This window comes from Homo sapiens, chromosome 2 (assembly GCF_000001405.40).
Source record: "Homo sapiens chromosome 2, GRCh38.p14 Primary Assembly".
Classification (NCBI taxonomy): domain Eukaryota; kingdom Metazoa; phylum Chordata; class Mammalia; order Primates; family Hominidae; genus Homo; species Homo sapiens.
The window spans coordinates 44,495,098-44,512,404 of NC_000002.12; the positions used below are offsets into that span (position 1 = coordinate 44,495,098).

At 37.2% G+C, this 17,307-nt stretch overlaps 1 protein-coding gene across 8 annotated transcripts in view; it reads left to right on the forward strand.

Moving 5' to 3' along the window:
* CAMKMT (calmodulin-lysine N-methyltransferase) overlaps positions 1 to 17,307 on the forward strand; it is a 410,646-nt gene that overhangs the window by 133,151 nt on the left and 260,188 nt on the right. The window contains exon 1 of one of the 8 annotated variants that reach the window (XM_017004982.3): positions 2,609 to 10,633. The exons of the other annotated variants lie outside the window; for them this stretch is intronic. Coding sequence (XP_016860471.1) covers positions 10,630 to 10,633 — 4 coding nt within the window. The 5' untranslated portion in view covers positions 2,609 to 10,629. Of the gene's footprint in view, positions 1 to 2,608; positions 10,634 to 17,307 lie in introns of those variants that run through there. 8 annotated transcript variants of the gene reach the window in all.

The window sequence follows — 17,307 nt, forward strand, 5'->3', positions numbered from 1 at the left end:
TACTTTTTTAAAGAAATAAATGCCTCTGCAATCTTTCTAAAAATAATTGATTTTTATTTTTAGCCAGGTTCTTGCTCTGTCACCCAGGCTAGAATGGTAGTAGTGTGATCATAGGTCACTGCAGCCTTGAACTCCTAAGCTTAAGCAATCCTCCTGCCTACGCCTCCTGAGTAGCCTGGACTACAGGTGCATGCCACCTGCCCAGCTAATTTTTTAAATTTTTTTGGTAGCGGTCAGGATCTTGCTATGGTGCCCAGGCTGGTCTTGAACTCCTGGCCTCAAGCAATCCTCCTGCCTTGGTCTACCAAAGTGCTGGAATTAAAGATGTGAGCCACCGTGCACAGCCAAGAATTGATATTTATTTTGAGGACTGACTAGAAGTTTTAAAATTAAAAAGAAAATTCATTGCAGTTTTGTAATATGTGAAAAAAATCATGAAAATATATTGTTAAAAATGTCATCACAATTCTGGTAATCTAACTTTGGGTTTCTAAAAGCTTTTGTAGTGTTAATGTTAATACTGCCCTTTATTGTAGGCCAAGGATGTCAATTGGAAGCAATTCTTACTACTGGTTGTTGGCAAGTTGCATGAGCAAGGCAGATTTGGACCCAGCCTGAAATCTCTAGTCAGCTCCATTCTTTAGCAGCTGTCACAGTGTAGTTCCAGCAGTGGTGTGTACCTTTCTTGTTCCACATTATGAGCCCACAAAGAAAGCCACCAGTGAACAGGACCAGCTAAAAGTTTTATTCTCCTTCTATTGGGTTGCTTTTGAGTAGATCCAATTTCATTTTTATTAGTGATTCAGTTTCTTCCACGTATAATCACATGTCTTTGGCAGAATCTCTTACTTTCTTATGAATACCTAGTAACTCAAAGTAAAGAACAGTGAATAATCCTTAAATACAGAGTATTTAGTTTTTTTCCCTCCTGCATTCAGAGTAAGGCCATGGTTGCACTAGGCCATACCCAAGTTAATAATTTGTAAAATGCCAAAGCATTTGAAGCTTTTCAGATTTCTATTGTAAAAGTCCTCAGTACAATTTTACACTGTCCTTTATATTGACCAATCTAAAGATTTGACTATTAATTTAACCAGCATTATTGTACTTTTCCTCTGGAATAAATCAGGGCTTTTTAAATGAATTGATCCCTTACTGTCTTATAACAATAAAGCATATTCAGCGTCATATTTTTCCGATACTATTGCACAATATTGTCAATACTTGAATAGAAGAACAGCTGTTGTCTAGGGAGTGAAGGTTAAAGGTAAACACTCCCTACTGATTCAAAGAAACACGGGCACCCTATTTATTATGTATTTGTAAGTAGAGCTCTGCAGAGTATTGCCACATTTAATGTATATTTCATAGAGTAACAAAAGCATTTTCCACTTTTGACTAATACAGTTTTTAGAGCCCATCCTTGTAGGTGACTTGTACGTATGCCTTACAGGCACACAATAAATATTAGCTGATGATGAGAGATGAATATCCTTGCTTTTCACTTCTGAACATGAGATAACCAAGCCTTTTAGGTAGAGTTAATTAATATCTGGTGGTCTTCTACGTTCCTAAGGGAATATGACTTTGAATTCTCTCTCTTCATCATAGATAAATGTGTAGTCACAAATGTGGTGTTCCAGTTTTGGGCTTGGGAAATGAAGTTTAAATGAATAATGGTAATCCATGGTAATAGAAATGCTTAGTTCTACTGGGTATTTAAGTCTAATATGTAGGCATCTGGGGACTCTGATACACTGATTTACTTGTAGGTAAAAACGTTTAGAGCTGCTGGCAGTGTTTTTTGTTGGGATCATTTGTTGCATTTTTAGTGTAACAGTGGACTTAGAAGTTAAATGTCAACCTTTGGCCGAAATAATCTGCTAGTCAAAGACCTTGGACATTTAGGGGTTTTTAAATTGGAAGTGGAAGGGTATCCTCATTTATTATTCATAGCTACAGTATGTTAGTTATTATTCTTTTGTTAAAAATGTGACAAAATTAAAGGCAAATGTAGTTTTAAAGGCTCCAGAGTAAATTAGAAAACTGATTTCGTACATCTGCAAAAATTTTATTAGCTGATTATTTTACCTCAATTAATATTGGGAATGTTGACAGATAACTACACATCGCTGTTTCACAAGAAATATTTTGTGTATGTTTATTCTTTATGATCAGAAAAATAAATAGTGTAGATTGGACAGTGTTCATTTTTCATAAATGGAAAAGAACATTGTTCTTTTACTAGCCAGAGTTGGAAGAAAGTACTTGGGATAAGAAATAAAAATGAATGTGTACATTTCAGTATGTGTAGTGGAATGGATTCAGGAAATTCATTCTTTCATATTAATTTTTCTAAACATTTTTTATGTAGGGATAACAGATAAGAGAGAGTAAAAAAAATCCCATTTAGTAAAAAAACAAACATATTTGTATAGATGTAGTAAAGATACACCTGAAAGTTACATACCAAATTATTAACTGTTCTTTTGGGGGAATAAACCTCTAACCAGGGACCTTTTCTTTTTAAGAATTTTTATACCTCCATATTATTTGATTTTATTTTGAGGAGCATGTATTATACCTGTAATTTAAAAAAATTAAGCAGGCAAAGAGAGAGAGAGAGAGAGAGAGAGAGAGAGAGAGGGATAGTATATGAAGGGCTATAGGCAGCCCCAGAAGAGCAAGAAAGGCAAAGACCAAGCAGGCATCAGAGCTGGATCCTGACATAGCAAGCAATTCAGACACCTGCCGGGCATCGGGGCAGGGTGAAGTCTTCTTACCAGAAGAGAAATCTGGAGCAGGGAAGTTGGGGGACCTGTGTGGGGTAGGGAGTAGGTTTGTAAATTGGAATGTTGTGGTAGAGTAAGACTGGAAAGGTTAGGTCATTCATTATGGAGATAGTCTGAAATAAAGACATCAGGGATCATGGAGTGTAGTTAGGATATAAGCATTTTGTACAAGAGTTTGATGCTTGTTTCCTTTATATTTTTACCCTGTGGAGCCCTTGGGAGTTCAAGTATGTGTCTATTGAGAGAGATCCATCATAGCACCTTTATTTATTTATTATTACTATTTATTAGAAAATGAGCAATGCTTAACCTCTCTAGATAGCTTTAATACAGTGACATGACTTCATGTTGTGGAGTTGGACAGGTTATATGAACATGCAGAAATGTAGCTATTCAGTTTCTCAGTTTTGGTGATGACCCATGTCAAATAATTTTTAAATTGTCTAATATGAGATTAGGCTCTTACACTGAGAAATTAAAGTAAAACAAGCTATTTATTAACAGAGTAGGTGGACTAATCCTTTGCTAGAGTAAATATGAGGAGCTACATCAACACACATATACATTCTCTACGTAAGGTTAAGATGTATGTAGCTAAATATATTCATTAGTATTACTTAGGAGATGCTCTTTCTTTTGTCATGTTTCTTTGGCAAAAGCTAGCAGTTCTGTTAGCAGTGGTTTTGATGATAAAATCCTGTAATTCAAGAGGTTGGCTTATTCAACTAAACAACTGCTACCTTGGGCAATACTGGACCAACTGCGAGGGGACTGTTTTCTTGAGACCTGGAAAGCTGTTCTGTTTGCTAAACAAAGGAATTGTTGATTTCAGTGATTTAATTCCCCTTTTGGCTAAAGGCTGCTGAATGAAAACAGTGCTTGTTTGGGAAGGAATCTGTTGCTAAGGCAACTGATATCTCCTTAATTATTGGCCAATATTCCCAAATGAGATTGGTCTCTTTTGACTGTTGGAAATAACCAAATTATCCTGAGCACTTTCAAGTCTTGAATTTTGTGGTAATGGCGGGGGTTGGGGGAGGGATTTCTCTCAAGTATATAAACAGATATCTCCCATTTGGGTTGGCATAGTGTGAGCACTGTGTTTATGAGGGTAAAAATATAGATGATATTTGCAAAACCTCTTTTATTGTAAGAGATCTTATTACTTAAGACGAGTTGCAATTCTGAGATGAGTGACCTATGTTTAATCTTTTTTTAAAAAATGAATTATTTGATTTCTGTAAGAAAATAGAATACATCTAATCATTTATCCTCAAGAATAGGCAGATATATGGAGAAACTTGTAAGTATTATTTGAATGATGCTAACAAGGACTGTCTTCAGAAGCGTCTGCAGCCATTTATGTGAGGTTCTTTACTTGAATGTTTCTAGCACTGCATATGCTGACCTTGGAGAGTGACCTCTTTTCTGTCTATTACTTTGTAGGATCATGTAAAAGACCTGTGGTTTCTTGTCTCTTGGCAGTACAGTTGTTTGATCATTTAAAATTAATTGAAGCTTTGAATATAGTCAGGCTCAAGTTCTAGTGTATTCATATCATACTTTGTAATTGCTCTCTAGTGTGAAGGACATACTAAAACATCAGTACAGTTCTTACAAAATGGGAATTTGTCTTTATAATTTTATTGTATGTCTTTTAAATTCTTATAGTGAATCATAGAGATCACACATTATTATCTTATATCCTTACAACAAAACGGGAATTCACTGTTCTTTGGTACTTGTCCTGTGACAAGCCTGGTGAGTATTGATGAAATTCTTCTAATATTACTTGGGGTATCCCAGATCTTCCAGTTGAGTGAACATGAGGTTCTGAAGTGTGACTGTTTATGATTTCTGTGTTGTAGAACCATGAAAATTTTGTAGGAGTCTCACATGAAAGGCTTTTGGCACAATAGCACTGAGTAAAATCTGTTTTGTGATACTTCTGAATGGTTATAGTTCTTACTTAGGAGTAGTCTTTCCATGTTTCATTCATAGAGATGACATTGGGTTTATACCTTGGGTTGAATTGAATATAAAAAGCTTTGTGTACTATGTATTGGAAGAATACTTGAGTTGGATTTCATGTACATATTTATTATCTATCCTAGATTTATGAAATTTCACTCTTCATTTTAAATAGCTTCAAGAAGTAAATACAAGATTCACTTGATGAAAATATTAAAATACATGAAAAGGACAATATCCTGCGAAACTGTTGACTAAAATATAAGCACAGAACCACAGAATATAAGTTCAAAGCTGTCCCTACATGTCTCTAGAGTATCATTAATCTAGTTCTCACTAGGGTTTTAGAGTATCTAAGTAGGTTTTACACTATCTACTGAAGTTCTTCCATATCAGACTATAAATATAAGCATACAGTTAAATCTGTGATACATTTTGAATTAGCCTCCCTTTTTAGGACTCTTTTGAGCTTGTCTTATTTAAAATATGTTGAAGTATGAACTATCAGACTTCAAAAACATTGTTCTTTGAAAAACATTTTTGTGCTGTATTTTTAAATTCCTTGATATTTATAATTATTTAAAAGATTTTTGTTGTAGTCATCTAGTTTATAAGATTAATTTTTTCCTGGATTATTGTAGGAAAAAAACAAGTTTTTAAATAAGATAATGTAAAGAGAATTTATATATTTATGTTGATTAGATCATAAAAATTTGACCCAAGTTATTATATATGTTAAATTCTATGAATTTATTACTTTGTTTTGTCACATATTAGTTGACTCAATTTTCCAACATTTCCAGCATTTTGCCCTTTTCTCAGATACTTTTTTTTTTTTTTTTCTGGAGTCTTGCTCTGTTGCCCAGGCTGGAGTGCAGTGGCACAATCTCAGCTCACTGTAACCTTTGCCTCCTGGATTCAAACGATTCTCCTGCCTCAGCCTCCTGAGTAGCTGGGATTATAGGCACGCACCATCACACCCAGCTAATTTTTGTATTTTTAGTAGAGATGGGGTTTCACCATGTTGACCAGACTGGTCTTGAACTCCTGACCTCAAATGATCCTCCCACTTTGGCCTCCCAAATTGCTGTGATTACAGGCATGAGTCATCATGCCCAGCCTCAGATTAGTTGAAGATCAAAGATATAGAGAGAATATTTTGTTAGCAATTTCTTAGCTTTTTTTTTAACCTTATATATTTTGGTTTTTTTTTTTCCTGGAGACTTGTACTTAGTACTAACTTCAGTTTGCATAATATATATTTATATATTCAATGTGAATATTTTATATACATACCTATGACAAATCTTAATTTTTATATACAAATATATGGCAGTGTTCTTTTTCTTTCTGCAATGGTAGGTTTTTTCTTCAATTCAAGACTAATTCAGTATTTTATTTACCTTTATTTATAACCACGTGTGGTATCTTTCTTTTGAGAAAGCATTGACACTCTATTGCTATTAAACACTTTCACTGGGTGAGATAGAACTGTTGTTGACTGTACATTATGTGTGTGCCAGAGAATATAAAGGAACAATGGAGAAATGTCCCATCACAATTTTGAAAGGGTCTATTTTAAATGCTACGTGTTTCTACTAGAATATAGAGCTGTAATTTGGAACAGGAGTGAAGAAAGAGACTTGTAGAATTTAAGTTGCCTATCTCCTATCTCCTAACTCATTGGGAGGCTGGGTCTTCATTGTGAAGTCTCTCATGTATACCTGTTAAATGAATTTGTATGCCTTTTGTCCTATTAAAAAATTAATTAATAAAGGGCTCGGACAAATTGAAACACTGGGTCTACTCAGGAAATATTTTTATAGGTGCAGTTCGAATGTTTGAATTAGGATGTAACATTAGAAAACGTAAAGGAGCTGGGCATGGTGGCTCGTGCTTGTAGTCCCAGCAGGAGGCTGAGGCAGGAGTTTCGCTTGAGCCCAGGAGTTGGAGTTGAAGGTTGCAGTGAGCTATAATTACATCACTGCATTCCAACCTGGGCAATAGAGTAGCGGGGTGGGTTGGAGGCGAAACAAGAATAAAATGATACAACAAAAACAAAAAAGCAAAACAACAAAAAGAGAAAATGTAAAGGCTATGTAAGGCTTGCCTCAGGCAAAAATTATCAAATAGGCCAGGCGCAGTGCCTCACACATGTAATGTCAGCCTGGCCAACATGGTGAAACTTGTCTCTACAAAAAATACAAAATATTAGCTGGATATGGTGGCAGGTACCTGTAATCCCAACTACTCAGGAGGCTGAGGCAGGAGAATTGCTTGAACCCAGGAGGCAGAGGTTGCGGTGAGCCAAGATCGCACCACTACACTCCAGCCTGGACAACAGAGTTGAAACTCTGTCTTTAAAAAAAAAAAATTACCGAATAAATATACATTTATCTTTGGTGTTTCCCAACTTAGATTTGAATTGTTGTATCTCTCCCCTAAACCCTGCCCTGTGCTCTTGTGTGCCCTGTGACTGATTAGTATCCTTGTCTCTGTCACTCCAGGTCTGCTCTCTTTTTCTTTTCCCTTTCTGCACTTCAAGCCTTCCTTACCTCCCATGCCCTTGTACCCTTTTAACTTTCTTTAAAAATGGCCAGTGCTTTATTTCAGTTTCACTGTGTCCATTCTCTAGAAATTAATCTGATGCACTAATCACCATTAAATTGATAATGCTTGATAATGTCTTGCCTTGATCTGGTTTGCCATCTTAATTAGAATTTTAACTTAGCTTTTTAGAGGAGAACATTTCAAGACATACCACCTTGATTGTTGAACTTGGGTTAGGTAATATTTCAAGGTGGTTCATAAAGGTATTTATTTTAAAGGAAAAAGAACACTGAGAGCCCAGCATGCATATCCACCTTCAAGATTTAATAATTTGAGATTTCAACTGTCCCTTAAGGAAAGCTGATTTTAGAAGAGAGAAGGTAAAACTATTCAATAATTATTATCCATAATAAAATATATTATAGTTCCTTTTTCTTAGCCAATTAAAGGAAAATACTATGTATTAATAGGATATGTAATTTGGGGGTATAGAAAACATTTTTTTAACTCATCTAATTATTTTTAGTTTTTGTGATGATGACTACTGATTTGTCCTGTGCTACATATAATTCTTTGTCACAGTTTTATTAGCATATATTATAGCCAAGTGCTTGCTTGGCTATGAAGAGGGCATTTTTATTCTGTTCCATGTTATTTTTCTTACCAAAAAATGCAACAAAAAACTAAAGTCTATTCAAAAAAAGCTTATTTCATTATTTAAAAAAATTCTTTCCCATATTCCATATTTCTTTTGTTAGTGTAATAACCAATTTTTTTTTCCAGAAATTTAACCTCTCCCCTGCTTGTGTCATTCAGGTTTGGCCCAAAAGCAAACAATGGAAGTACTTCTGACCTACCTTTGTTAGAAACTTTGCATATCTAAATCATTGCTTGCAAGAGTGTGAGGGAAAGTAAGAGTAAAGAGGATAGAATATAAGAGATTGCTCTGTCCTAAGATATTGATGGTCTATTGGGAAATCAGATAACCACATATGACACACTCTATCAGCAAGCCAGATTACTTTTAAGTTCTAAGATATGTGAAAAAGTTAATAGTATCAGTCTTCAGAGAGAAAAGAGAAATTACAGCAGGCTTGAGATGTCATAGAAGTTTTAGACTAAACTTTGGTGATAAAAGGGAAGAGGACCTTTGAGATGAAAATTTTCAAATATTCCTATCAGAATTCTCAGCCCAGAGATGATACATGCAGCAAACTGAGAAAAAGAGGAAAAAAGAATCGCTTCTAGGCTTCTTCATTTGTCCACGTGAAGTCTGTCCAAACCCAGTGTGACAGAGTTGTAGTTTCAAGCACGCTGTTCTTAGATCTTAGACTGCTGTGACAAAATACCTTAGACTGGTTGGCTTAAACAACAGAAATCTATTTCTCACACTTCTGGAGGCTAGGAAATCTAAGATCAAGGTGCCTCCAGATTCTGTTCTTGCTGAGTTCGTCTCCTGGCTTGTCCTAGAAGGGCTGTCTTATCCTTATGTTCTTACATGGCTTTTCCTTGATGAATTTACTTGTGGAGAGAGGTAGAGAAAGAGGAAAAGAGAGAGGGGAAGAGCGGGTGGGGAGAGAGAGAGAGAGAGAGAGAGAAAACGAAACGGGAAGGGGGAGAGAGAGTTGTCTCTTTTTGTAAGGGCCCAGATGCTGTTATGAAGGCCCCATCTTCATGACCTCATCTAAGCCTTATTACTTCCCAAAGGCCCTATCTTCAAATACCATCACATTAGGGATTAGGGTTTCAACATATTAATTTTGAGGGACACAAACATTCAGACCATAACACAACCCAGAACTCATCTGTGTTATGGTGAGTCCCACCCTTGCCTTAATTCCCTATCTTCCCCCAGAATCCTAGAAGATAAGACACACTGCTCAAATGACTTAGGACTTAGTTTAGGGCACTCCCTTTAGGGTCATATGTTGTATTAGTTCAGATTTCAAGTATTTATAGATATTTTTGAATTTATGTTTAATTCTTTATTCAAAATGAGCTTTTTGAGAGCTCATAATTGGCTTACCTTATGATTCCATAAAAGTGAATATTTGGCTTTAGACAAGTGTAATTTGTTTATTTAACAACCATTTAATGGATGCCTATGATGTGCTTCTTTCTGATTTTTGGCCTAGGGGTTTGTTCAATTTCCTATGCCTCTTACAAGGGCAGAATTGAGGTGGGGCCTTTTAGTTTTTCTGCGTCCTTGCCAGCCTTTGGTGTTGCTGTTATTTTTATTTTAGCCATTTTAATAGATGTATGGTGATATCTCATTATGGCTTTAATTTGCATTTCCTTAATGGCTGATGTTGTCAAAGATCTCTTAATGTGCTTATTTTCCATCTGTATATCCTTTTTTGTGAAATACCTGTTCAGTGTCTTGCCCATTGTGTTAGTCTGGTTTTTTGTTGCTATGAAGGAATATCTGAAGCTGGGTAATTTGTAAAGAAAAGAGGTTTATTTGGCTCATGGTTCTACAGCTTGTACAAGAAGCATGGCACCAGCATCTGCTTCTGGTGATGGCCTCCAGCTGCTTCCACTCATGGCAGAAGGCAAAGGGGAGCCAGTGTGCACAGAGGTCATGTGGTGAGGGGTGGGAGGAGAGATGCCAGGCTCTTTTTCACAACTAGCTCTCACTGAATCTAATAGACCAAGAACTCACTTATTACTGCAAGGATGATACCAAGCCATTTGTGAATGATCCCATCCCTGTGAACCAAACACCTCACGTTAGGCCCCACCTCCAACACTGGGGATCAGATTTCAACATGAGATTTGGAGGGGTCAAACAAACCATATTGAAACTAGAGCACCCACTTTCTAATTGTTTTTTTTTAATAATTGAGTTTTGAGAATTTGTAAATATATTCTACATGCTACTCTTTGTTGGATATGCAGTAGTTTGCAAATGTTTTCTCTCAGTCTGCAGCTACTCTTTTCATCTGCTTAATAGGGTCTTTTGCTGAGCAAAGGCTTTTAGTTTTGATGAAGTCCAATTTATTTTTCTTTGTGGGTTGTGCTTTTGGCATCAATTCTAAGAACTAGTTTTGTAGCTCTAGGTCCTGAAAACTTTTCTTCTGTTTTTATCTGAAAGTTTTATAGTCTTATGTTTTACATTAAGTCTGTGGTCCAGTTTGAGTTAATTTTTTGTATAAGGTGGGAGTTTTTGGTGAAGATTCACTTTTTTGCTGATGTCCAGTTGCTCTATTCTTTATCATAAAGGTCTTCATCCTCATCATCTTACCATTGAATAGGCTGAGGTGAAGGAGGCGGAAAAGGAGGAGTTTGTCTTGCTGTCAGAGGCGGAAGAAAATCCATGTGTAAGTGGACCCGTGCAGTTCAAATCCGTGTTGTCCAAGAGTCAACTGTGCTTCCTTTATAAAATGTCAGCTTGTTCCTGTTACATTAAGGAGAAACAAGGAGTTTATTTACTTTATTTATTTATTTATTTATTTATTTATTTATTTATTTATTTGAGACAGAGTCTGGCTCTGTTGCCCAGGCTGAAGTGCAGTGGCGCGATCTTGGCTTACTGCAACCTCCTCCTCTCGGGTTCAAGCATCCTCCCAGCTCAGCCTCCCAAGTAGCTGTGCATCACCATGCCTGGCTAATTTTTGTATTTTTTTATAGAGACAGGATTTCACCATGTTGCTCAGGCTGGTCTCGAACTCCTGGGCTCAAGCAGTTCATTCCACCGTGGCCTCCCAAAGTGCTAGCATTACAGGCATGAGCCACCGCATCCTGTGAAACTAAAAGTTTAAATCTGTGCTTTTTTCAAGGAAAGAAGGAGCAAATGGTAAATGTTCCTAAGCTAAGTGGTAGGGGTATAAAAGTGAGAAAATGAAATAAGGAAAGTTGAAATTCAAGGAGAATGAGTTGAAGACTACTTGTATACCTCATCTCTTCTACACAATATATTTATTTCTATTGGAGAATTTTTCTCATGCCTTAAGGATTTTGTAAATAAAGGGATGATTCTCTTCCTTGCATGTGAGACAGTTTTCAGCGATTTTCATTTAAATATGTGAGTTATTTTTCATATTTCTTTCTGATTATACTGTTTTAAACATCTGGGGATAATAGTGGTTGGTTTTAGTCAATATCTGTATAATTTATTCTTTGTTTATATTTTGGGATAGATATTATGTTAAAATCCTAGTTATGTTCTGGTCGGACAGAAATAAACGCCATTTCTCAATGTAGGGGGACTCTATGAATACAGATACTGGTAAACCCAGATTTTTAGTGCTAATAATGAATAACAACATGAGACATTTCACATAGTATAAATATAGTTCAAGAAATCCATCTCCTTATACCAAATTGGATTTCTGTAATAAGTGTGCTTTACTGACTAATTTTCTTTCAAAATTAACTCTGTTTAAACCGTTCTTGCTTTTTGTCATATTTCAAAATGTGTTAGCTAATATTACTTTAAATAATCAAGGTATCATTTTTATCTTGCAAATTTATGCTGATCAAAAAATCTTCAAATCTGAAATGTTTATAAAAATGACTATGTGACGGAATGGCAAACATACTCTTTAAAACGTTTTAATTCGAAAAGCTCACAAGGCATTTAGAAAGGTAGTGCCTACAAGAAAATTCTTATCTTCAATATTATTTACCTGTTCATTTTGGAATTCATAAAATTTGTGCAATCTTTTTTTTTTTGAATATGTGTGTCCTTATCAGAAAGGAATAGAAAAATTGAAGGCAGTTTGGAGCTGAATAGAAGTTATTAATGAGCTTAACTTTGACTGAAATGACAGATTAATGGCTAAATTTTCTTCTATAGCAAGTCTGTTAGAACTTCTACCTTGCTTCAGTAAATTCTTTTTGTCATTACAAATTGGAGGCAAAAGGCAAAGTAGGTTTAATTTCAATTTTGAAACTCAGACCTTAAATCTTTAATGACCTTCACTCAGAACCAGGATTGGTTGTACTTCTTTGGAGCACTTATAAAAAAAACCTTATGGATAGTGTGCATCATGGAACACATCACATTTTCTCCTTTTTATTGACTGCAAAAAAGCACTGAACCAAATTCATGGTGGCCTACTTCTAATTGGTGTACTGTACCATGTAGTATGCCTTTTTTGTAATGACCCTGATTTCATCTCATTTTTTTCTTGTCTATTTTCTGTTTGCAGTGATCTCCTCATCATTTTAGAAGTCCTGTTGTGATAATAGTAAAAGTAATAATTATTCATATTTATTTAGTTCTGTTTATAAGCACTCTACATGTTTCATTAAGTTTAATGTTTAACATCGCTTTGTGATAGTTACTCTCATTATCCCCATTTTACTGATGAAGTAGAGTAGTGCTACTCAAAGCACTAGACTGAGAGGAGTTTAGCAGCTTGTACCAGAATTAAATCAACTTACTGCTTCCTTCATCAAGAAAGTCATGCTGTGAAAAAAGTGTCAGCCGAACTAAACAATGTGCTTAATGATCTGCATTCTGATGCAAGAAACTTACCTCGGCACAAACTGGCAACAGACACTTCATTGTCAGCCTGGACATCAAACTTTGAGTAGCACTGTTCCAGAACAGTGTTTCTCAAACTATCTGTGGTGAAGGACTTTTATGCATGTGTTTAAATGTTTAGCACTTATGGGCTGAGACTTTGATAAAGTAAAAACGTTGTGGTAATGTGAAAAGTTTCTAAGTACTTTAATGTAATGACCTTGTCTTGAACAAGTAACAGTGACTTTAAGGACTGGCATAGGTAGACCCTGTTTTGAGTAGCACTGGTATAGAGTGAATTAGTGTATCAATTGTGATTGATTCTAGATCCTAGGGAGAATCACAGTGCCTTATTCAGCATCAACACATGAGAGTTGCCTAATTTGCGTAAATGTAAACCTATAGCCACATTGGTGGGAAATAGCAGAGCAAATATCTAGGTATTAATCCTGTGGCATCAGCACCTTAGGTTTATCTGGTTTGCATATAGCCAGTCACAGCAAGGGAGTGAGTAGGCAGTATACCTATAGGTATAGAACCAGTTACAGGAAGGGAGTTCCCCACTACAGTGTTTAAAAATTCCGAGCTTTCATGCACAATGAAAGCATGTTTCTTTCCTTCCCTCACACTCAAAGGTTGTGAACATCCTACAAGAGACCATTGTAGACATCCACCTAGAGGTTCCAGTACTGTGGCTAAACGTTTACCTTATCTCAAAGGAATACGTATGTGTATATGTAGGATGTGTAGTAAAAGGAAAGTTTGGCCTGGATAGATTGAATAACTTTCTATGGGATTTTTTTTCCTTTAGGTAAATAATCCTATGATAAATATAAGTAATCTGGTTAGGATATCCTTATCAATTTCTATAATATTATGTTAAAGGCAGTGGAAAAATATGATGTAACTTGTATGTCTTAAATTGTATGTCTCAGCTGGGTGTGGTGGCTCACGCCTGTAATCCCAGCACTCCGGGAGGCCAAGGCAGGTGGATCACCTGAGGTCATGAGTTCGAGACCAGCCTGACCAATATGGTGAAACCCTGTCTCTACTAAAAATACAAAAATTAGCCGGGTGTGGTGGCATGTGCCTGTAGTCCCAGCTACTCGGGAGGCTGAGACAGGAGAATTGCTTGAACCTGGGAGGTGGAGGTTGCAGTGAGCCGAGATCATGCCACTACACTCCAGGCTGGATGACAGACCCAGACCCCATGTCAAAAAAAAAAAAATTATATGTCTTAAATTCCTGTAGCTTTAATGTGAGAACACTGAAGCACAGAAAGGTGACAAGAGCTAATGAGGGACTGAGCCAGGGTTTCAGCTCAGCCAGGATTTGAGCTCAGGGAACTGTCTCCAATAGCCTAATTATTTTTCTTTGTTTTTAACTTTTAGTTATTTTAGACTATTACAAAAAAAAAGTTTTTTGTTTTTGTTTTTTGTTTTGTTTTGTTTTGAGTCAGGGTCTCTCTTTGTCACCCAGGCTGGAGTGCAGTCATCTTGGCTCACTGCAACCTCCACCTCCTGGACTCAAGTGATCTTCCCACCTCAGCCTTCTAAGTAGCTGGGACTACAAGCACATGCCACCATGCCTGGCCAATTTTTTGTGTTTTTTGTAGAGATGGGGTTTCACCATGTTGCCCAGGCTGGTCTTGATCTCTTGAGCTCAAGCAATCTTCCCACCTCGGCCTCCTGAATAAAAGTTTTAAAATAAGTATAATTCCTGCTGTGGTTTGAGTATGTCACCAGAATTCATGTGTTGGAAATATGGTCCCTGGTATGGCAGTGTTGGGAGGTGGGGCCTTAAGGTGGTTAAGAGGGATTAATGCTGCTCTTGCAGGACTCGGTAATTCTCATGGGAGTGAGTTGTCACTATTGTAGAACTGAATTGGTACCATGAGAGCAAGTTGTTATAAAGTGAGGCTACCCTTTGTGTTTTGCTCACTTCCTTTTTGACTTCTGTGCTATGTTACAACGTGGGACAAGACTTTCACCAGAAACCAACCAGTTGTGGCTGCCCAATCTTGGGCTTCCCGGTCTCCAGAACTGTGAATCAGAATAAACCTTTTTTCTTTGTAAATTACCCAGGCTCAGGTATTCTGTTATAGCAATAAAAAATGGACTATGACAGTTCTCAAATACTTTTCCCCTGGCTTCCCTGAATGTTAACATCTTACATTACCATAGAATAATTATTGAAATCTCAAAATTGACATTGATACTGTTAACTGCTCTACAGAGCTTATTCAAATTTCACCAGAATTTTAGTTTTTCTATTAATATCCTTTTTCTGGTCCATGATCCAATCCAAGAGCACATACTGCATTTAGCTGTCATTTTATTTTAGTCTCTTTAAATCTGTGGTAATTCCTTAGTCTTTCTCTGTCTTTCACGGCCTTGATACTTTAAAGAGTACTAGTCAATTATTTTGTAGAATGTCTGTTAATTTGAGTTCATCTGATGTCTTCTCATGATTACATTGAGATTTTAAAGTTTAAACTAGAATATTACAGAAGTGATGTGCTCCTTCTCAGTGAATCATACTGGGGCTACATGATTCTAACATGACTCAATTACTGGTAATGTTCACCTTGATCACTTGGCTGAAGTGGTGGATCCTAGGATCCTCCATTACAACACTACTATTTTCCCCTTTGTAATTAATATTAATAAATATCTTGTTGAGACATACTTTGAGACTATACAAATATCCCATTTCTCATTATACTTTCCCTCTCAGATTTTACATTCCACTGATTCCATCGCCTACATTCTTTTTAAAAAACTTCATTTCAATAGTTTTCGGGGTACAGATGGTTTTTGGTCACATGGATAAGTTCTTTAGTGGTGATTTCTGAGATTTTAGTGCACCCATCACCTGAACGGTATACACTGTACCCAGTATGTAGTCTTTTATCCCTCACCTCCCTGTCAACCTTCCTCCTCGAGTCCCCAAAGTCCATTATATCACTTTTTTTTTTTGAGGTGGAGTCTTGCTGTGTTGCCCAGGCTGGAGTTTCGTGGCATGATCTTGGCTCACTGCATGCTCCACCTCTTGGGTTCAAGTGATTCTCCTGCCTCAGCCTCCCAAGTAGCTGGGATTACAGGAATGTGCCACTGTGCTCAGCTCATTTTTGTATTTTTAGTAGAGACGGGGTTTCACCATATTGGCCAGGTTGGTCTTGGGCTCCTCACCTCAAGTGATCTGCCCGCCTCAGCCTCCCAAAGTGCTGGGATTACAGGCGTGAGCCACTGTGCCTGGCCCATTATATCAATCTTATGCCTTTTCATCCCCATAGCTTAGCTCCCACTTTTAAGTGACAACATACGATATTTAGTTTTCCATTCCTGAGTTGCTTCACTTAGAATAATGGCCTGTGGCTCCATCCAAGTTGCTGCAAAGGACATTATTTCATTCCTTTTATTTTTTAAGACGGAGTCTTGCTCTGTCACGCAGGCTGGCGTACAATGGCGCCATCTCGGCTCACTGCAACCTCCGCCTACTAGGTTCAAGCAATTCTCATGCCTCAGCTACCTGAGTAGCTGGGACTACAGGTGTGCACTAACACGCCTGGCTAATTTTTGTATTTTTGGTAGAGACAGGGTATCACCATGTTAGCCAGGCTGGTCTCAAACTCCTGACCTCAGGCAATCCGCCTGCCTCAGCCTCCCAAAGTGTTGGGATTACAGATATGAGCCACCACGCCTGGCCTATTTCATTCCTTTTTATGGCTGACTAGTATTTCACGTCCTACATTCTTAATCGTTACATTGGACTTTTGTAAATTATCTGAAAGTAAAAAGGTACTTCAACTGAGGGCTGAGAGATCTGCCTCCTAAAACCATCTGGGGCTCTTGCTCCCTCCAGCTGTTCCCTCCTCCTGGACTGTTCTTCCCTCAGATTTTATCTTTTGGTTGGGTCCCTCACTTCAAGTGTTTACACAAATTTGACCTTGTTAGTGAGACCTCCTTGACCACCCTATTTAATAATACTGCAAACCAATCTGTCCAACCTGCTTACTCTGCCCACCCCCCATCTTCTAATAGTACTGTACTTTGTGCTTACCTAGGCTGTCCCTCTTGTAGCTCCTTGTAATTTCAGACTTTAGAACAGGTATGAATGAAAACGTTCTGAGAACTTTCTCTGCTTGTGGGTGGAGGAAGGAGTGCACAGTGAAATTGTTCTTCCGATTGCGTCTTCCTTACGTCAGCCATGACACTTGTAGTCACTGCTGCTACCACTTACCAAGGAACTCAGACTCCAGGCTGCCACTACCTTGCAGGACAATATTAGCTGATGCTTGACCATGTCTATGTAATTTTGTACACAAGACAAAAAAGGGGCAAAAAGTTACTAGCTCCTCCCCTTAGCCAACATTTTGACTTTGGACAAATAAGTTCACCTTTCTGTTTCTCATTTTCTTTATAAACTGAGGCTAATAAATCATAGGTTTGCTGTAGGGATGAAATAAGAAAACATATAAAGCACTTAGCATAGCACCTGGCATGTTGTAAGCATTAAATGAGT